The sequence below is a fragment of the Homo sapiens genome, chromosome 6 (genome assembly GCF_000001405.40).
Source record: "Homo sapiens chromosome 6, GRCh38.p14 Primary Assembly".
Taxonomy (NCBI): domain Eukaryota; kingdom Metazoa; phylum Chordata; class Mammalia; order Primates; family Hominidae; genus Homo; species Homo sapiens.
The window spans coordinates 45,957,062-45,979,037 of record NC_000006.12 but is presented as its reverse complement, the minus strand read 5'-3'; the positions used below and the strand labels follow the sequence as shown (position 1 = coordinate 45,979,037).

General features: G+C 41.3%; 1 protein-coding gene across 12 annotated transcripts in view, besides 1 other annotated feature; it reads left to right on the top strand.

Moving 5' to 3' along the window:
• The window catches only part of CLIC5 (chloride intracellular channel 5), a 248,993-nt gene that overhangs the window by 150,782 nt on the left and 76,235 nt on the right, over window positions 1–21,976 (top strand). Inside the window, exon 1 of one of the 12 annotated variants that reach the window (XM_047418898.1) lies at window positions 8,790–8,808. The exons of the other annotated variants lie outside the window; for them this stretch is intronic. The gene's annotated coding sequence lies outside the window, so the exon portion shown is untranslated. Of the gene's footprint in view, window positions 1–8,789; window positions 8,809–21,976 lie in introns of those variants that run through there. 12 annotated transcript variants of the gene reach the window in all.
• Window positions 17,899–18,398: an enhancer, noted in NCBI's record as "H3K4me1 hESC enhancer chr6:45928377-45928876 (GRCh37/hg19 assembly coordinates)". NCBI's record gives its function as "activates a minimal SCP1, AML or CMV promoter by ChIP-STARR-seq in naive H9 embryonic stem cells {active_cell/tissue: H9 hESC(naive)}" and the evidence as "EXISTENCE:reporter gene assay evidence [ECO:0000049][PMID:30033119]".

The following is a 21,976-nucleotide window of genomic DNA, read 5'->3' as shown; positions in this document are numbered from 1 at the left end:
TGCATTTTTTTTCAAACTCTGGCTGTTGAGCTCCTTTGGAAGGCTGATCCACAGCTCTCTCATAATTATTTTCTGTTTTTTTTTTTTTTAATGGAGTTTTGCTCTTGTTGCCCAGGCTGGAGTGCAATGGTGCAATCTTGGCTCACTGCAACCTCCGCATCCTGGGTTCAAGCCATTCTCCTACCTCAGCCTCCCAAGTAGCTGGGATTAAAGGCATGTGCCACCATGCCCGGCTAATGTTTGTATTTTTAGTAGAGATGGGATTTCACTATGTGGGTCAGCTGGACTCCTGACTTCAGGTGATCCACTCGCCTCAGCCTCCCAAAGTACTGGGATTACAGGCATGAGCCACTGCGCCCAGCCTCATAATTATTTTCAATCCCAACTTCTAGTACAGATGTTCTCCAAGTGTGGACCCTACACTAGAAGCCTCAGCATCACTTGTAAAAGTGTTAGACATGCAAATTCTTGGGCCCCACCCTGGACCTACTGTGTTTTAACAAGGCTTTCAAATGGTTCTGATGCATGCTAACATTGGAGAACCACTGTTCTAGAAGTTCTTAATAAATATTGTTGAATACTTCCTAGAATCCCCATAGACCTTCACTGAAATATTTAAAATATTTAAGAATCCCCACATATATTTTTATTGGAAAGCTTACGATTCCTGCTCAGGAATCACTCATTGTTAGCCATCCCCAGTCAAAGAGAAGAGTATTTTATCACACAATGACAAGGAAGCCCAACACTAAGTTCTCGGATATGGAAAGCACTGAGGGGAAAAAAGGCACCATAGATGGGTCAGACCAGGTATAAGATCATAATGTAATGCTGTTTATTGAGCAGTTATTTTGCACCACAAACTATCCCTAAATGCTTTACATGGACAATAAATTCACACCACAACTTTTTAAGTACCACACCATATTTCTACTTTACTGAGGAGCAAACTGAAGCCAGGAAACTTTCCCAAGATTACAACCCTAGTAAGTGGCAAAGCCTAGTCAGACCCAAAGCCCAGGAGCTTCCCTGCTATTGTCTTTTGTCTTCTTGCTCTGTTGCTTCCAGAGAAAAACCCCACCACTGCAGCAAGCTACAGGGAAAGACGCTGAGTGGAAACCCACTGGGCATCCCTTGCACCTAGAACAGCACCCCACACATTGTTGATGTTTAGTATTTGTCAAGTGAATGAATGAAATGAACTATACACAACATAATTCTAATAGAAGTAGTCTGAAGAGGATTTCCAGGGAAGATGGGGTCTGAGTTAGTATTTGAAAGTAGAGACAGATAATGCTGTCCAAAAGAGAGAAATGACATGAACAAAAGTGCAGACATAGCCAACCTGAGCCTAGTCAGAGGAGGTGGGCAAGCTGTTTGCCTAGAGGGGAGGGGAGGCAGGGGAAGAGGTCTTGAAAGGGGAGAATTTATAACCCTGGAAAAAGAAAGGGTCCCTGAGAGGCAGCTCAAGGAGTTTGAATTTTATCCTATTATTAGTGCAAAGTCATTGGAGGGTTCTGAGTATGGGCTCAAAAGGGCCAAAGAAATAATTTAGGATATTGTATCATATCCATTTTTTTATTTTTAATTTACAAAAGATGGAGGGAAGGTAGCTGGGCTCCAGATCTGGGGGGTTTGTTGAAATAGCAACTAAAAGATCATCTTTCAAAAAAAGCCACATACCATTTTGATTCATTACAATTTGAATGTAGCAAGAATAATTACAATATGCTTGTCATTAAAGCTTGCACTGGAATTTGATAAAAAGAGGTTTATGTTTCACTATAAACACCTGAAGTGGAGTCATAGGAAAAAGCATGCAAAATCCAAAAGGCCACAAAGTCAAAAATAAAGAATGAAAAAGTTACTATAATCCTTGTTATTCAAGGGTGAAATAAAAATAATCACCCAATCTGTTTATTTAAAATAAATATTTATTACAAATATTTATTATAAATCAACTATATAGTTTAAACACCACTTTCTTGCAAAAGACAAAGCCCTGAAAGGAAATAATTTATTCTTTTGATATGTGGGCAGATCTGTATGAACTACATTGCTCATTTAGCAATGAAAAGTCAACCAAACATGGGAAGACAATATGCACATTGCATACATACAGCACACACGTAACATCCAGCCCTAAAAAGCATCAGCAATATCCCTTTTGTTGTTGTTAGTGTTATTTTCCGACAAGCTGCCTTTTGTCTATTCTAGTTAATGTTAGGAAACCTCATAGGTCTATGCCATTATAATGTCCATTACCCATTTGAATATTTAGACAGAGTCTGGAGTGATTATTAATACTGAGAATCACTACGTTTGATCCAGTGAAGGACAAAACTGTAGTACGATGAACCAAAAGTACTAAGAAGGGGTTATTTGACATTTTTAACTGCTTTGAATTGAATAAAGTCTGTCTGTGCATGGGCATTGTATGAATGAGTTTGCCATTAAAAGTAATGGCAAAAACAGCAATTACGTTTGCACCAACCTTTATTAAATGTAAGCTTCTATGTCTAACCATGCCTTCAAATTCTTTTCTGAAAGTAGAAATGCATGTACATAGAGTGACCAACTCATCCCAGTTTTCCAGGGACCTTCCCAGTTTTAAATCCTGAAAGTCCTGGAATTCCCCCAGTCCTAGGCAAGCTGGGATGTCTACTCACACTACACATTTAACAAAGAAAGAAACAAGCAGACAAAAAACAAATCTACCAAGAAAATAATAAAAATGAAAGGACACTTTTCCGATGTCCCACCCAGTAGTAAACGCTGCTTCCCAAGACATGAAAAACATATTGTTGAGTCTCCTATTTACCATTTATTCCATTCTGCCGTATACGTAATATAATTATTATATTAACCTTCATCTCTCCATAGGTGACTGGAAGCTATAATCACTTCCACTGATCAGAGCCCTTCTATGCACATGGTCTCATTTGACCCTTGCTGTCACTCTTTGTGATAGGCAGAGAAGGTGTCAGAGGCCCAGAGATGAGCAGCCCCCACTTCTTAGGGGAGCATCAGCACAGGAACCCAGGATTTCTGATTCCCAGTCTGGTGGTTTTTTTTCCATCACTGATCATTTACATTCTCTTTATGACATTCAGGCCCTGGTCCTTTACCTATATAACATAGAGAAATAGGCTATTTATAATTTACAACATAAATTAAGCCAAAGACTTTTAAGCACTTTTTAATTATATTGTATACCTTTCAAGTGAGGGTGATGAATGGTACTGTACCCCTATTTCATAGTAAGAGAAATGAAGGCTCCAGCTAACTTGGCTCAAGTTGTACAGCAGTTGCACCTTAGAGATTGACAGGTAACATATTGTCTTGTTCTTTGTAATCTGATATACTTGGATTTAAAGCACATTTCAAGATTTTTTTTAAGATTAGCAACATAACTATATACATATATATTTAAAATAAATGTCCATATTGATAGAGACCTAGACAGAAACAAGCACTTGCCTGCCCCAATGAGAATCTGAGGGCACCACTGGTTCCTGGCACACTGGACTGAGGATGCCATCTATACATGTGTTGGACAGTCACTGTTGGCCAAAGTTAAAATATACATTTTAACTTTGACAGAAATACTTTTGTTTCAGTTGCATATCGAATGACAGGAGCCACGTGGGCATCACTTTAGGATCTGGTTACTCCTTGGCACCTAAGTTACTTTCTATTTCATTAAAAGTCTTTCTTTCATCTTTATTTGCCATTCTCCTGTATCTGCTACATGGCAGGCTAGTGGGCTTGAATTTGCTGGGGTTTCCAGTCCCCAGGTCAGGCCGACCCCTGAGTGTGCCTCACCAAAGCTACATCCTGCTCACTCTCCAGTTCTAAATCAGAGCCTTTGGAGGCACAAGTAAAGGGACCCAAGGGCAGATCAGAGGGGTTTTCCTCTTCATATATTCTTTCTTTTTTTGTCACCTCCCTTTTAGCTTACTTTATTTGTTTTAAAAATACAAGATGACTGTGACAACTCAAACCTTAAAGAAATATATAGGTCTACAATTCTTTATCTGTAATCCTGAAATTCAAAAAGCTCTGAAAACTGTAAGTTCTTTCATAAGTTTGTGGAAATTCACTTTGAGGCAAAACTTCCTTGAACTTTAGAGATGATTTGTAGTCCATCTTTGCCCCACTTGGTGCTGTGGAGATGTGATTATAACAGACTTGATTACAGCAGTGTGGTGTCCCAGAGCCTGCAGGGGGTGGGGATGGGGTTACATATATATCCACACATGTTACCTTTCTACATTCCAAAATATTTTGAATTTTGAAACACATCTGTTCCCAAGGGTTTCAAATATTTCTTTGCTTGAAACCACATAAAGAAAATATGAAGACTCTCCTTTCACACACCCCTTGAATGCACCCACCTGAAGAAACTGATGTTATCAGTATCAGGTCCTGCCCTCAACTCCTCTCTATGGCATGCCCTCTCTCTCTCTCTTTCTCTCTCTCTCTCTCTCTCTCTCTCTCTCTCTCTCTCTCTCTATATATATATATATATATATATATACACACACACACACAGTAGTAAACACTGCTTCCCAAGACATGAAAAACATATTGTTGAGTCTCCTATTTACCATTTATTTCATTCTGCCCTATATATAAATATAATTGTTATATTAACCTTCATCTTTCCATAGGTGCCTGGAAGCTATAATCACTTCCACTGGTCAGAGCCCTTATATGCACATGGTCTCATTTGACTCTTGCTGTCACTCTGACTGATAGGCAGAGAAGGTGTCAGAGGCCCAGAGATGAGCAGCCCCCACTTCTCAGGGGAGCATAAGGACAGAAACCCAGGATTTCTGATTCCCAGCCTGGTGGTTTTATATATAAAACTATATATATTTCTCCTCTCTCTCACACGTACAATACGAACACATGCAAGATTTTGTTTTTAAATACAAAAAGGGATCACACTGTTCTTATTACTTTGTCATTTGCCTTTTTCTCCTACTGTGACACTCCCTCTAGAATAATACATAAGAATCAAACTCATGCTTTTAAATAGCTGTATACTATTCTATCATATGGTTATATCACATTGTAATCAACTATTCTGCTTTTTTTTTTTTTGAGATGGAGTCTTGCTCTGTTGCCAGGCTGGAGTGCAGTGGCGCCATCTCGGCTCACTGCAACCTCTGCCTCCTGGGTTCAAGTGATTCTCCTGCCTCAGCCTCCCAAGTAGCTGAGACTACAGGCATGTGCCACCACCCCCAGCTAATTTTTTAGTAGAGATGGGGTTTAACCATGTTGTCCAGGATGGTCTCAATCTCTTGATCTCATGATCCGCCCGCCTCGGCCTCCCAAAGTGCTGGGATTACAGGCATGGGCCACTGTGCCCGGCCACCTATTCTGCTATTGATGAACATGTTTTCATAGTATTTTGCTTTTGAGGATCAAATATTAGTGATTATATTGTAAAAGGAATATATATCTACAGGGTTTAATTCATTTTATATATATTGGGATGTTGGTTGGCAAAAACAAACAAACAAACAAAAACACCCACAAAAAAACACATTTCTCTCTGTCATACAAATAGAAACCCTGAGACAAAGGGTGTTCATTTTAAAAAATGAAAAGAAAGAGTTAGCTGCAAGCGAGTTATTTTTCCTGCAACAGGCAGGCTTTCTATGAACTAGAGGTTGCACAGAGGCAGACTGCTAAGCCACTGAACTGCTCAGCCATGGGCATCAGGAGCTCTCAGGACAGCACCTTTAGAGAGCCCAGTTTACTAACCCAGCCATGTCATGTTTCCATAACTTAACCCCTGGAGGTAGGGTCCGACATCTGACTGGTCCCACAGGCAAAGAGGCAGGTAACTTCAGGGGGTGCAGGATGGGGCCTGTTCGAGATGAACATGCTCAGTGACTCTAGGTTTGGTTGGCTTCTAACAGACAAGCCAAGTCATGGAATTTCAATAAATAATTTAACCTCAGCTCCAGTTTCAGCTTCAGTGTCCACTTTCAGCACCTGGCTGCCATTGTTATTTGCAAGCAGGCTCCTCCTCTGCACGAGGTATGGAAATTTGGCAGAGATTCACTGACATTTTTAGAACCCAGTAGGGCCAGATTACTATGAACAAGAGTGGAGTTTTGTTTTTGTTTTTCTTTTTGTTTTTCCTAACCAAGAATTATGTGAAATCTGGATGTGCAAAGATGCACTTTTTAAATGAAAAAGAAAAGCTGGCTATCACTGACCCAATGCATCGGTTTTAAAGGTCTTCCGATTGTTGCTGTATGAGGCCTTTATCTTGCAAAGGTTCTGAAGACCAGCCTTCTCAAACACTAAGAGGCATAAATCACTTAGAGGTCTTACTGAAAATGCAGGTTCTGATTCAGTAAGTATGGGGCTGGCCTGAGAATCTTCATTTCTAATGAGCTCCTAAAGGATGCTGATGTTGCTGGTCTGTGGACCTACTTTGAGCAGCAAGGCTGCAGACAACCCAGAATTTCCTCCTAACAAGAAAACTATCCCTCTTAGGGCCTTTTCTGGGAGTTCCAGGGGAGAGATAAAAAGCTCTTAATGAGACTTGATTGAGAGATAAACTTACAAGAGGACCCTGGAGCTGTAGGACATTGTGTTCTAGCTGGAATTTCAATCCACTAACAAAGAAGACAGGATATGGCAGTGGTAGGTTCCATTATTGTATGTCATCCTTTCAGAGCACCTTTGATCCTCACAGAGAACTCGTGAAGTAGGTGGGCAGCTGTTATTATTCCCAATTACAGGGATGGAGACAGCTTTGAGGCCAATTCAAGTTATCTTTGTTTTTTAAATTATTTTCTGGTTGAAAAGATAGAGAGAAAACACATCTTGCTGAAAGCTAATCACATAATTGCAAGCGCTATACAGTAAAAGTCCTTGATACCCATACTCTACTTATGTTAAATTTGTTTCTAAGCCTTGTTTCTGTTCTGCCCTTTGGTATGTCTCTGAGACACTGGTCTTTTCATGCAGGCTACATTTTGAACAACTAGAGTAAATGTGTCTGGCCCTGAACTGTATCATAGGACTGAGAAGAGAAAAGTAAAACAGGATCTGTTTTACAACTTAGTAGAAGAAACTCATGTTACAGAAAGGTCCATAAGAGCTAACTAGGAGGACATAGGGGAAAATTATGCTTCTCATTTTAGCTTTGTTCTTATCTTTTAATTCTTCAGCAGGCCTCTTCTCTGTGTAGAAGAGTCAGCAGAATTGCATCTAAGGTTGACTTTATAAATAAAACATGTCATCACCAAATAATGCTTACATTCTGTCCTACGAATCCTAGTTGAGACCTCAGAATTTTCTATATTATGTTTCCAGCAGCCTCCTTCAATAATTGGCAGATGAAGCACAAGTTGCAATGTTTCTTTGCCATTCCTGAGGCTCCATCAAAAAACAATTTGAAGGGGCTGATCCTAAACATTAGATAGGATCTAGAAGACTATCTGTCATTAATGCTCGAAGTTCATCACGTAGCATCATCTGTTCTAAACATAGTCCAACAATAGCAGGCTTCCTTCCTTAGGTGGGTCTTGTACGTAAAGGAAAGGTTGGGACTTTGGCTCACCCTGGCTTAAGAGGGTAGAAATAGTTTGGTGGGGGTTTGGGTGGAGACGAGATGACCATAATAAAATTTTTTTAAAAACATGTACAACAACCCTGTTCGGCACCTTCAAACTAAATAAGATATAAGTGATATGCTTTGTTGATTGTCAACGATTACATATACTTCTACTCTAGACCTATGGATGGAACAATCTCTGCTAGAACTGGAAATGCATTTTCACATATTCTATATACCAGATGGCTGATTTGAGGAATCCACTCTGTGGATAGTAGTATTAGAATGTGGTACCCAAAATGTAGTTCTTTTTGTGCTTGTGAATTTGAATGCCCCAAGAGCATCATAGCAAATTCTAAGACTTACAGAAAGGATCCAGTAGAGGAAAAAGAACAATTTCTGTACCTCATTTATTTTGGAGTCCACCAATGGGGCAGTTTTGTATTTTTATAATGGCCACTTTCAGTTTTTTCTCCTAGACATAAAGTGGAGAATTTACATTAGAGCTTTTCATAAGCAGGGATCACCTCTGACTCCTTTGTGCCCAATGAACAAGTGAGCATAAAGAGAATCAGAGAATTCAGATGTAGGCATTGTCTAGTTGTCCCTTCATTTCATAGGTAAGGGTGCAGAATGCCAGATCGAGACAGTGACTTGCTCAAGGGCACATTCATCTTGCAGAACAACTGGGACCAGTATGCAGGTTGTCTGACTTCCACCAGTCAGGCAGAAAAGCAGGGTGGGCAATCTGTCTCTTGTAAATGCAAAGGAACTTGTGAGAGAAAATATGGTAGGGCTTGGAAAAATTCCCTTTTTGAAAATAACCACTGACTCCTTCATCTCAGGTTGTGGCTTCCTGGGTGAGGGCCTGGACTATTGTGTGTGTGTGGTATAATTACTGGGTAGGTTTATTTTTTTATGGGAGTACAATAAAGAGAACATTTCCTGCCTTACTCTGCCATTTGAAAAAGATTTTCATTTCCCCTTTTGGCCTGGGGATTACAAAAGACAGACTCCTTTCCAATTACAGCTCGGTCTGAGCTTGAACATATAACTCAGCCAGCAGCAAGTTCAAATTGATTTTTTTTCAAGGCTGAGAAAACGAAATTGGGTCTTCTTGACACAAAAACTGGCTTGGTTTTTTCTGTAATTGTGAGGCTGTTTTCAAAGCTCCCTTCTAAAGCAGAAGATATAATCATCCAGGACTAACCACAGTCTTCACTGTAAGTTCTATAGGGGCTCAGAAGAAATTAGTTGGGTGGGCCCACATGACAGGGGCACTTGGCTGGGAGAAACATTTCCCTGTTGCACAGTGGCAGAGAAGGACTTTCTCCAGACCTGTGACCTTTAATGTGCTGGCTGGGGGTGAGGAGAGGGAGGAAGGAGGAATGGGCCCAGAGGGCAGAGTGACCTTGAAGATGGCAGATGCACTGAGTGCTTTCTGCCAGGCACTGCGCCCCCATTTTACTTGTGTTATCTCCCCTAATCCTCCCAATCACCCTAGGCGGGAGAAGAAGGAACATAGTGAGAAAAGACAGCTACACAGCTTCCCTTCTATCCTTCCCCTGGGAGCTCAGGACCTGTCGTAGGAGTGTGGCTTTCTGTCTTTACCCTGAGTAAATCCTCCACGATTAAAAAAAAAAAAAAAAAAAAAAACCTTGATGTGAATGTGAATCCATACCATTCAATAACAAGGCAGGATTTTTCTTCCTCTGTCTTCAGCAGTTTACTCTTTTAAGGGAATAAAATGAAAGATAAGCAAGGGTTAGCAGGAACATCTCTCGAAGATGACTTTCCAAAGGATTCAGTTCTGTTTTTCCTGTCTTCCCTGATTATGTCTAAATTACATACGTTCACGATTTTGACTGAGATTTCAGCCATCTCCATTCAATAGCAAACTCCATCCCTACCGATCGTCTATGTGGCCTTGGAAAAGTCATCTGAAGTCTTTGGATCTCAACTGCCCTAGTCTGAAGGAGTTGGATAGAGCAGGAGGGGGTGGGGGCGGGGACATGGGGTGGGGACAGCCTTCCAAAAAGGGTGCTTCTTCAACTGCTTTTTAAGGTAAGGTGCTGAGAATACTATGGAAAGATGCTACAGAGAAGTTGTGAGAAGGCAGAGCCCAGAAGCAGCTAGCAAAGGTGGTCACAGGTGGTTCTTCCTTTGTGGCCTGATTTTCCTTGCAATCTACAGTGCTGGCCCCTCCCCTGCAGATCCAGCTGCCTGTGTTTTCAGAATAGAATGCTAGTCCACAAGCTCTTTCATCCTCTCGGCAAACATTTATCCAGCCCGTGCTGTGAGCCATGCATGGTGCTGGGAGAGAGGACTGTAGTAGCTTGTGGAGTCTCTACTCAGCCATTGGAATTTTTAGGTGCAAATAAAAGATTTAGTTATTTTCACCTTCTCCTAGCCACATTTTAGGAACAGAGTGTCTTTCAAGCCCATCTTTTCTAATTTATTCACTTTAAAAATAACAAGATTAAGACCCAGAGAGGGAAAATTACTTGCCCTAGGTCACACAACTCTTTGTGCCAAAACTAGGTCTGGAACGCAGAACTCTTAATCTTCTGCTTTTTATTACATTGCCCCAAATTGCTTAAAGGGCTACCCAGGGAATTCAGTTCACCAGGGAACATCTTGCTTCTCCAAACATTCTTGCTAACAAACATCTTACTGCACAAGTATAGGAAGATGTCACTATTACAAATTCATAGCACTCATATTAACGGCAAAGCTAAAACATTCCTATAGTCACCCGCCTCCAATTAATTAAAAAGGAATGTGTTGTTTTTGAAGTCTTGCCCTTCCAACCAGCCTTGAAGTAATTTTAAATAGAAAATTTTAAATGGAAATTAAGGCAGTTTTGTGATAAGAGTGCCTGCCCTTTGGTCTGGGGCATCCATTGTGTGAGCTAGTTTTTCAGAGCTGCAGAAGTAACAAGTTGGCAGGATCTCACATAGGAGATAATAGATAAAAACCTACATGTCTGGTTTCAGGACCCCCAGGAAGCTATTGTTGCCCTTCTTCCTTCTTTCCCAGTTCTTTAATCAGTTTCTGGCAGACACCTGCAACCCCACTATTGAAGCTTCATCTCGTTGCTTACATCTGGGCCATGATAAATAAAAGTACCCCAGGAGGAATAAGTGCTTAGCAGTTACCAACAATTCATACTTAAATGTGAATGCTTTCAGAGTTGGCATTGAGAGATACAAGTGGGGAGAGGCATGCTGGCCAAGAGTGGCTGAGGGGTTTAGAGATGCATGATGGTGGAGATAGCAGATTGGGAAGACACAGAGACCCCCAGAAGATGAGCATTTGACTGCCTTATGGCTTTGCCTGTGACTAGGCTGGGGTCCTCAGAATGGAGGAAGAAAGGGAACTAGAGAAATTCTGCATGGGTTTTCCTAATAGAGCATGAAGAAGATCTGCTTGGAATTCCCTGCACACCCACTGATATGGTTTGAATGTGTGTCCCCGCCAAATCTCATGTTGAAATGTGATTCCCAATATTGGAGGCAGGGCCTGGTGGGAGGTGTTTGGATCATGGGGTTGGTTCCCTCCTGACTTTGTGCCCTCCCCATGGTAATGAGTGAGTTCTCGCTCTGATAGTTCACAGGAGAGCTGTGGTTTAAAGGATCCTGGTTCCTCTCTCTCTCTCTCTCTTGCCCCTGCTTTTGCCATGGAAAGTGCCTGCTCCCATTTTGCTTTCCACTATGATCATAAGCTTCCTGAGGCCCTAACCAGAAGCTAAGCAAATGCTGGCATGGCACTTGTACAGCCTGCAGGACCATCAGCCAACTAAATCTCTTTTCAATATAAATTACCCAGTCTCAGGTATTTCTTTACAGAACACAAAAACAGCCTAATACACCTGCATTGTTCAATCCAGCCTCCAGGCATGTGCTTATGCCATCACTTCTGCCTGGATGGCCTTACCTGCCACTTTGTATGAATAAACTCTCTTACCTTTGAGGCTCACATTAGGCATTGTTGCTGCCCCAAATCCTTCCGTGAACCCTTAGGTGGGCTCCTTCCTGTCCCCACTCCACCCATTCTCTACTACTACTGCACTTCAGTGATGACCTGGCCATCATGTCTTTACCTTTTGCTGCCTCTGTTGTGTGATAGCTTCTCAAGAGAGGGACCATGTCTCTTTCATCACCACATCACTACATCCCCAGTCTCTGGAACCAAGCTGGCCCTTGGTAAAGATGCCCATCTGGCTGTGTGGATCCACCCTGCCCAAGTGGCCAAGTGCCTGCATATAGTTGAGAGTGGAGATACAGCTTGCTGGTACTCCACGCAGCCAAGAAAGCCCAAAACAGGACCTTATGAGGACCCTGCATTTTTTAAGAAGCCACATTTTTCACCATGGCTGACTAGAGGAAGGTGGCTGGAGAGAACAAATGTGGTTGGGTACATATGGCCTGTGGTTGACCACATGAGAACTTGAGCCCAGTGACTAGGGTTTCTGTACCCGGTCACAGCACACTCTGTCACCCTCAGGGAAGACCCACCTGGCAGAACTTAAGAGTTCTGTGTGGAGATGCAACCATAAAAATATCAGTTGGCACGTGAAGTTCTTGGCATTGTTTATGGCTGCATTGACTTGAGGTTCTTCAGACATCTTGATCCAAAATGGGCTCTCCATGCCCTGAACAACTCAAAATGGTGCACTTCTTTCAGGGCCTGTGCAGGGATGGAAGGTGAAGAAGAACAGTGTAGAAATGGGGTGGGAAGTAGGAGTGGGGCCAGGATGTGAAGGAGTTTCCAGTTTAGGTAAGGAAAAAGGAAACAAAAAGAGGAGGGAGAAACAACGTCCTAAGTGCTACTGTCGGTGGTTGGTCCAGCCCGTCACACATCTCCTGAGCCCAGAGACTCTGATGCTGCAAGTCTACAGTGAGGTCAGGGAGCTCATTTGTTTCTTTGTTTGTTTAACAAGCTCCTTTGGTGATTCTGTTGGACATCTCCCACTGTGGGCACCACTAGGTCAGAAGTTGTCAGTCCTGACTGAACATTAGAATCACCTCGAGAACATTGAGGGAAAAGAATTCTGATGTCTGAGCCCTACCCCCAGACTAATTAAATCAGAATATCTGAGAGTGGGGCTTGGGCATTCCAGTTTTTAAAATGCTTAGTTGTGTGGAATTTTCGAGCTCTAAAAACATACTTTGTTGACATATCATAAACTAGTAATTTTGCAAAAACTTTTTTCATAAGTTCTCAGATGTACATGACCCTAATTAATAAACCTCAGGACTCAGATTTCATTTTAGTGTCATAAGCTTTCAATTTGTTATATTTGAGTTTGGGATTCATGAGTGATTATTGAAGCCAACAGAGAGCTAGGATGACAGATTTTGGGATGTCTCTAAAGTCTTTCCAGCCCAGCTTATCCTATTAAGAGGCTATATTCAAAACTCAACATTCAGACAACCAGAACAGAAGGGCAGATGAGTAATAATTGAGGAATCTCAGCTATGTCAGGATCCCAAACACCAACCTTTGTAGGAGTAGCAGAGCTCAATATCAAGATATCCTTGTTTGGTATGAGGATTATAGGAATTGCAGGCTTATTCCTTAAATATAGGGGGAATGGATTCACGATCAAGAGCTGCCATTAATTTCCATAGCATCTTGGATAACAAATAAGAAAAATGTCAAGAGAGGAAAGCAAAGCTTTTGACAGTGGCCTCATTAAGTGGAAAACATATTTCCTGTATTAGGATGGGGATTCTCCAAGGGAGGCTTAAGTGAGGAGACCTCTTCTTCAAATTATACCAATGTGGAAAGGAGTTCTGTTTATTTGAGGCTATAGATTTGTATTGCTCTTTGGTTTCCTGTGTTTTGGTACATTTCTGAGGTGGAAGAATTCCAGATTTCAACTTTCCTGAACCAAGCATTGAGAGCCTTAATCAGGTCTAAAGAATAGGATGACAGTACCTTAAAGAGCTGTGAAAATGTTTCCGGATGTTGAGAGAACACAAAGGCTTCCAATAAACTTCAATAGAAAACTTCCAGGAATCTGTCCCGGACCTGATCCCTTAGCTTCAACCATCTATATTCCTTGGGTTCCAGCCCTTCTCATCTTTGACTCTTGAACTACTTGAAAAAGGTGTTTGGTTGGAGGGTGTTGCTTTTCACAGAAATTCAATAGTCTTATAGAGAACAGACATGCATGTATCTATCATTGTACCAATAGTTAACCAAACATGAGTCACTTTTCCCTCTCTCCCTTCATAGTAAATGCATGACTGACCTAGTTTAGGAACACTCTCCTCTGGCCAATGAACAATAGCTGTAGTTCTTCATGTATTTTCTTTCTTTGTTGAATTTATTGCTTCATACACAAAACCCTGAACGCTAGGTACTGTTGAACTTTTGTGCCATCAAAGAGAGGTCTATTGACTCTTCATCAAGGCATAATATTTCATAAATAGGGTGTTTAACAAGCTCTTCCTAAATGTTTGCCTTCTGCGGCCATAAAGACAGTAGCTGTAAATGTATAAAGTAAATACTATATGTTTTATACATATTGTCATCCAATTATACAACTCTGCCACCAATTTGAAGATAAGGGGCCTGAAGCTAAGTGTGTATGTGAGTTGCCTGCTGAGTAACAAACCAGCCCAAAACTTAGTGGTTTTAAACAATAACAACATTTATTTTGCTCAAAAACCTGCATTTGGCCAGGACTTGGTTAGAATGGCTAATTTTACTTCACTAGATGTCATTTGGGACAATTCAAAAGCTGGGGGCTGGAATAATCTGAAATCTCATTCATTCTCTTGTCTGGTTGTTGAGGCAATCTGTCATCTGAAAACGTTGCTGAGACTATTAGCTGGAACACTACAGAGAACCTCTTCATGTGCTCTGGGCTTCCTCACAACATGGTGGCTAGGTTCCAGGGGCAAGCATCCCAAAAGAGACAGAGAGAGAGACACAGGCAGAAGCTGTATCACCCCCTATTACCTAATCTCAGAAGTCACACATTGTGTCACTTCTGCCATATTCCATTCATCCAGGCAGTCACAAAAGCCTGCCCTATTTTAAGAAGAAGGGAAATGTGGACTCCACCTCTAGCTGGGGCTGTGGAAAGGTTATGAAGGACATACGGGATTGGAAATAGTGCTGCAGACATTTTTTCTGCTGGTTGGTGTCAGGGGAGGAATTTGAACCCAGGTTTGCATGAGTCTATACAATGCCCTTAATACTGTACCACAGTATTCTGTGAAGCTGAGGACTGAAATCTGCCTCTACTGCAATGGAATTTAGCTGTTAAATATTACACCTGGGCTAGTGAGCAGAAACAGCCAAACTTGGAGGCAGAGAGTGTGGACTTTGGGCTCTCCCAAGGCATGGTGAAGGTTGATAATATTAACATATGAGAACCATTCTTCCTTCCCAAGATTGGTGGAATCACTTGGAAGACATACCAAGGCCATCAGTCTTACATTTCTTGAGTACTTACAGGTTTCTGAGAGTAGATAAATAAAACAAATCACTGAGTCACATTCATGCTAATGGAGCATAGCAACTAGATTATTGGAAGGTCAGATCATTTAGTTTTGAAAAATAGTAATAACAAGGCATATTGTCTGACTTATAAGAAAACCTCAAGTATCTAGTAACTGGCAAGATATTTAATTGAAATGAGGCAAATTCTAGAATAACATATGACATTGCAGTGAGATAGGCTAGGAGGTGGAACCAACAAGGGAGACTTGAGCCAAGCAAGCCTTTCAACATTTTCCCTTGTTTTCTTTCCTTCTCTGACTTTCCTTTCTACTTTTTTTTTTTAAGCTTAGGGTAAGTAGCATGTTTATAGGCCTAGAAGCCAGAGTTATTGCTGACTTGGGAAGGACAGTCATGTTCTCAAGGTAAGTTCTCCAAAGAGCACCAAGCATGGAGGAGAAGAGTGGTGAGCTGAGAGGGCAAATGCCAGAAAAAGGAGGATGTCAGCAAGAAAAATAAGGGGTCCACAGGCAGGCCAGTGCATAATGTGCAGTGCCTACTGCCAAATGAAAATGAGGGACCCTATGCTCCAAAATTATTAAGAATTTCAGGATAGCAACAGCAGAGCATTAAACCAAGTTTAATGGGGCCCCATGCAACTGCACAGACTGCCTGCCTGTTAAGCTGGCTCCTCCCACCTAAGAGGCACCAAGTGGCAAGGGAGGCTGCAGATGGCTGAGCTTTAAGAAGAAAGGATAATCAAAAGTTTTAGCTATAAGACGAATATCAGGTAGGATGAAGACACAAAGGAAAAAAAAAAGAATTGATTAACCCGGAAACAGATTGAAAGACAACAATTTCAGAAGTTGTTAAATAGAAGAAAGGCTGGCAAGAGGTTTAAAAGAAACCCATTCATTTATTCAAATAGCGGGACATGAAATAATAGAAAAGAAGCCATGTAGGAGTAGAAAGAAGGGGCTGGGAGAAGGGACAGTGGTGATGAGTTGGAAAGGGCAGTTCTTTCTCAGAGAGTGTGTGAAGCACAGGAGGGTGAACATACACTCAGTGGCAGATGGACGTAAAGCTCAAGGCAGGCTAAAGGACAGACACCCCAATGGGCCATGAACACAGTGGCACTGTGCAACATACAAAGTTGTAGGCAGCCTTGGGCCCAAAGCCACCATCAGACCAGGCTAGTTATGCATCAAAGGCACCACTGGATCCTGCTCACTTAGAGGCGTAAACCAAGGAGCCCGCTAAGTCTGGAGCCTACAAGTTCTTTTGGGAGGGGACATGTACACAACTATATTCAATTGTTTACAAAACCATCTGGTGAGCTAAGGTGCAGATGACAGCTACTGAATTAATAGGTTACCTGAATCAAGTAAAATATTTAAATATGCCAGGTGTAATGGTTAACTTTATATATCAACTTGGCTGGGCCATAGTGCCCAGATATTGACCAGACATTACTCTGGATGCTTCTGTGAAGGTGCTTTTTTTTTTTTTTTTTTGGATGACATTAACATTTAAATTGGTGAACTTTGAGTAAAGCAGATTGCCCTTTATAGTGTGGGTAGGCCTCATAGAAAAAAAGACTGACCCCCTCCTCTGAAGAAATGGGAATTCTGCCAGCAGGCTGCCTTTGGACTCGAACTGCGGCTCTTCCCCGGGGCTTCAGCCTGCTGGCCTACCCTGCAGATTCTGAACACACCAAGCCTCCACAACTGTGTGAGCCAGTTCCTTAAAATAAATCTCTCTCTCTTCACACCCCAACTGATATGTATTATATATATGTGTATATATATATACACACACATATATATAATATTATGTTATTATAATGTATTATATAAAAATAAGATGTGTATACGTTTCTCCATATATAGTAGATATAACAGGATGTGTGTGTGTGTGTGTGTGTGTGTGTGTGTATGTACATATATGTGTATGTATATATAAATACACACACACACACACATACATGTTGTGCTGGTTCTGTCTCTGGAGAACTCTGACCAATATACCTAGAATTCTTCATATCACATTGCACAGGTAGTGGTCTACATAGAGCTAATTAAGCCCATACATTAAACTTTAGATAAATGTTGAGGATCTCTGTAGCCTCAAATGTATACCTGTTACCTGTTTCTTGAATGAAAAATGCCTGGGTGACCCCAGTGAATTAGGCCTTTTGTGGCTTCTGAGAAAGGAAATGTTGATTTCTTCAAGGGTAGACCTCTCTGTCCTCATGTGGACCACGTACCACCAAGTCCCATCCCTGCTAATTGAAGTCTTGCCAACCAAATTATTGGAAGGATAGACTGTTTGGTATTAAAAAAAAAATAGTCACAACTAGAAATGTTGTCTGACTTACACTAACTAATTAAAAAATGGGCAGCTGGAAATATTATTATAAAGAAAGCTTCTTTGTCTAAACAGTTTAAATGAGCTATTATGTTTAAAGAAAGTCCTTTTCATGTGGCCTTTGCCACTTTGTCACTCTTTTCTAGAGGACAGCAGCCAGTGTGGTCTGCTCAGAACTGAGAGTCAGGAGTTAGAGAGACCTGATTCTGCTATGGGAACCAGCTGTGCTACCATGGGCAATTCATTTAACCTTTCTGGGTCTATTTCTCTACCAGTAAAAAGAAAGAACTGGAGTATAGCATTCCTGAGGTCAGTTACAGCCCTACTGTTGCTTAATTTTTATCTGTACACTTAACAAAATTATTTAATCACTTGAGTCCTCAGGGACAAGTTTCATGGGCGACAGCAACAAAAAGTGGAAATGTGACGTAAGTGGTGACTTAATTATCTTTCTTGAGAAAACTGAGGTTTCTTTCCTAATACTTCATCCAGGACTTAACCTTGCCAGGTTTTTAAAGAAGTCAAAGGTCACAAAAATCTTACATTTTGAAATAACAGACATTTAAGCATCTGATGTAGTCTGGGTCCAATCAGGAGTGAGAAACTACATGGTAGCTTAAACAGGAGAAATTCAACATGAAGTTTTAACTAAGATAAAAGAGTAACCATGACATATAAGGAAACTCTCTATGGTACCCTAGGGCTGAGGGAGAGGAGCCAGGGAAGGACAAACTTAGAAGTGGTTTGGAACCTGGCACAGAAACTCACTGGTTTGATCAGGCCAGAGCTGGTCTGGAGTCGCTGAGCAAGCAATAGCCCACTCCCCAGAGTTCAGGCAGGGAGCAGGCAATCAGCATCGGTACAGCATGCAGCAGGATCTAGGTGTTAGTGGAGAAGAAGGCCTTCAGGACACGTGGGGCTTGCAAAGGGGGTGACCAAGCTGTGTGGACACACTGGCCATAGGCCGGCTGGACATAGGCTTAATGGGGACTTTGGTTTCTGTGTCAAGAGTGCTGGGAAGGTTATTGCCAGGCTGAGGCTATGAGGTGCCAGGGGGGTTGCATGCTGAGCCTATAGCTGGGGTGGCTCCACTGCGTGCCCTCACAGCTACACTGCCCACCCCCAGCCCACACCACAGCCAGCAAGAAAGCCTCTTCCTCCTGCAGTGCCCCTCTAGTTCTCCCTGGTGAGAAAGCCTAACTTTGTGCTCACTTTAAAGGAGAAATGTTTAAAGAAATTCCCCCTGTTCTCACAGAGCATATATTCAAGGGTGCATTGGAGCTGAAAGGCAATAAATTGATAACTGACTCATCTATCAAGCTTCAATGTCATCTGGTCACTTTCTATAATTCCTTCTTGGATCCTCTCTGAATGATTCCTCCCACTTCTGGACTTGGGTACCCGCGAGTGACTTTTGGCCAATTATCAGCTTCCCCTTCATTATCTGGAAACCAAGTATTACATATCTGGTGTGTTCATGGAATGTCTTAAAACAATGGTTCTCCAATGTGGTTCATGGACTTCTGGGGTCGCTAAGAGGCTTTCAGGGGTTTTAAGAGGTCACAACTATTTTTAGAGTTATATCAATATGGTATGCTTCTCTCTCTGGGATTGGTATTTCGTGGGTAAGTTTACTAGTGTTTCAGCACAAATCCAAGCAGTGGTATAAGTGTGACTAGCCAGTCATGCATGTGCAGAAAAAAAAAATAGCCTCAATTATGAATGTCCTTGATGAAGCATTAAAAATTATATAATGTGATTAAATCTCAACCTTTGCATACATGTCTTCTAAACATTCTGGTTGATGAAATGGGAAATGCACATAAGCTCTTTGGCTGCATTCCAAAGTCTGATGGTTGTGGAAGGAAAAGCACTTGTATGATTGAGTTGCCAGCTGAACCAGCTGCCTCCCTCACTAAGCAGTTTTTACCTGAAAGAGCAACTGGCTGACACACCATGCTTACTCAGACTTAATATTTGTCAGTATTTGCTTCAGCCTGGGAGGCAGAAGTTGCAATAAGCTGAGATCGCGCCACTGCACTCCAGCCTGGATGACAGAGCAAGACTCTGTTTCAAAAACAACAACAACAACAACAACAACAACAACAACAAAAGCCCCATATACCCCAACTAAATACCAAGAGATTAAATGTGGAAGCCGACTTCTACTAAGTCAGATGTTAAAGATTTTGTAAAAATATAAAACATTGCCACTTTTACTAAATTTCTTGTTTTTAGAAAATATAGTTATTTTGTGTTAAGATGTTGTGTATGTTAATAGACACATTTATTATAGCATTTTTCTAAATATTTAAATGTTTTTCAGCTTTAACTTACAACACGGTAAATATCAATAACTATCATCCACATAAACAAAACCTTTCTGGGATCCTCAACAATCTTTAAAAGCATAAAAGAGTTCTAAGACTAAAAAGTTTGAGAACCGCGGTCTTAAATAAATCTCCATTTTCCACTTGAATTTACAAAATTGCAGGAAGTTATAGGTGCAGTGGTTGAGGCCAAGAGGAGGTAACTTATCTAAGGTCATTCACATAGTGAAGTAGAGGCAGAGATGGATCTAGAACCACAGTCTCCGGCTAGTGTGCTACATAACTCAGGGTAACCATGTATGTATGTATGTAGTATGTATGTATGTATGTATGTAGTATGTATGCATGTATTTTAGGATGATTTTCAGAATGCCAGTGAGAGAATTTTGAGATCCTCAAGCCACAAAAAGGGAGGGACATCACCCTCCCCTCAGCATGCATCCATTTAAATAGGCACTGAATATAAAGTAAGTTTCAGGTGCCTGTGCTTGTTGCTGCTGAAGACAAAGTAAATAAAACTTCAACTATGTTTTGAGGGAGCCAAGCTCATCATATATGGAGAGAGCTCACATGAAAGGCAATATATAATAGCATATAATATGAAGTATCCAGCATATAACAGATGAAGTGCAATCATACAGCCTATATAATTACATTATGCTACTACTACTGGTATCACCATATGGAATATTATATGTGGCATGATATTTTATAATAAGTTGTTATATACACTGTATCTAGGGAACAGGAAGTACTTTAGGATTATAGCTGGCAATCATGTTCAAAGCAGAATCATGAGCTTGGGAAGTTTGCCATTAGCTGTTTATATATATATATATATATATATATATATATATATATATATATATATATATATAATTGTCTTTTTGACACTTCCCTGATTGCATCAGTTTCCAAGAAATTGCTATACATAGTATAGCTGATAGCAGCAGAAACGGATTCTCTCACAGTTCTGGAGGCCAGAAGTTCAAAATCAAGGTGTGGGCAGAGCCAGGCTCTACTTGTCTCTTCTAGCTTTTGGTGTCTGCCACCAATCCTTGGCGTTCGTTGGCTTGTAGATACATCACTTCAATCATTGCCTTCATCTTCACATGACTTTGTCCTCTGCATGTCTGTGCCGAAATTTCCCTCTTCTTGTAAGGACATCAGTCATGTTTAGAGCCCATTCTAATCCAATATGACCTCATCTTCAAGTTGATTCCACCTGCAAGGACCCTGTTTCCCAATAAGGTCCCATGCACACATTCCAGGGGGACATGAATTTGGGGGAACATGATTCAACCTAGGACACTGTTTTTGTGCCGGTCCCTGGCCCCCAGTGCTCAAAATCTCTCTGGAACAAAGTACACCTGGGTTTTCCCTCACACTTTTCAGGATGTGGGGCCCAACTGAGCCCCACCTGGTTCTTCTCTGTTGATGTTTCAGATGGTCGTCACAGATCACGATATTTAACCCATGAGTTTAACAAACAATTTCTTAGGGCCGCAAGGCTGTTGGGATTTGAAGGGGAATAGAAGAAGCTGAAAGAGGGACACCCAGACAGTGAAAGTAAATGGTAGCATCCTCGCATATTTCTATTGGTCTTTGACAATTTTTGTTTACTAAACCCAGAATCATAGTTTAATACAAGATTAATAAGACATAATGAAAATGTAGGGAGCCATGAAGGATACCATGCCCTATGCTCCTGGCATAGCTGATTGCACACTGACCAGAGGATGTCCATACAATTCAACACCAGCCCTCCCCAGCACCTGGGGAGGACCTGTTACCTGGCTGGACCCTCAGGCTGGCTCCAGGCATGCAGCTCAGAGCACTGGATCTCTAGCCAGACCACCTGCGTTCGTCCTGGTTTCACCACGATGATAACCTTAGGCCAGTTATTTTATCTCTCTGTGCCTCCATTTCCACATTTGTAAAAGCTGAAAATATCCCACTTCACAGGCTTCTCAGGAGAAATAAACAAGTTAATAACATATGTAAATCCTTTAGAACAATGCCTGACAATATAGATATGTTATTATTAACATTATTATTATATGAATTTTTTATGTAGTTGAGAAGTCCACTATTTTGCTAGTTCCTCCTTCAATTCCCTTATCCTCCCACCACCACCACCAGAGGAAAACAGATAACAGTATATGGATCTGGCTTCTGTTTTTGTTTTTGCTTTTTTCTTCAGTTCTCCTCTTGTTACTTCCACCATAACTGGCCCTGG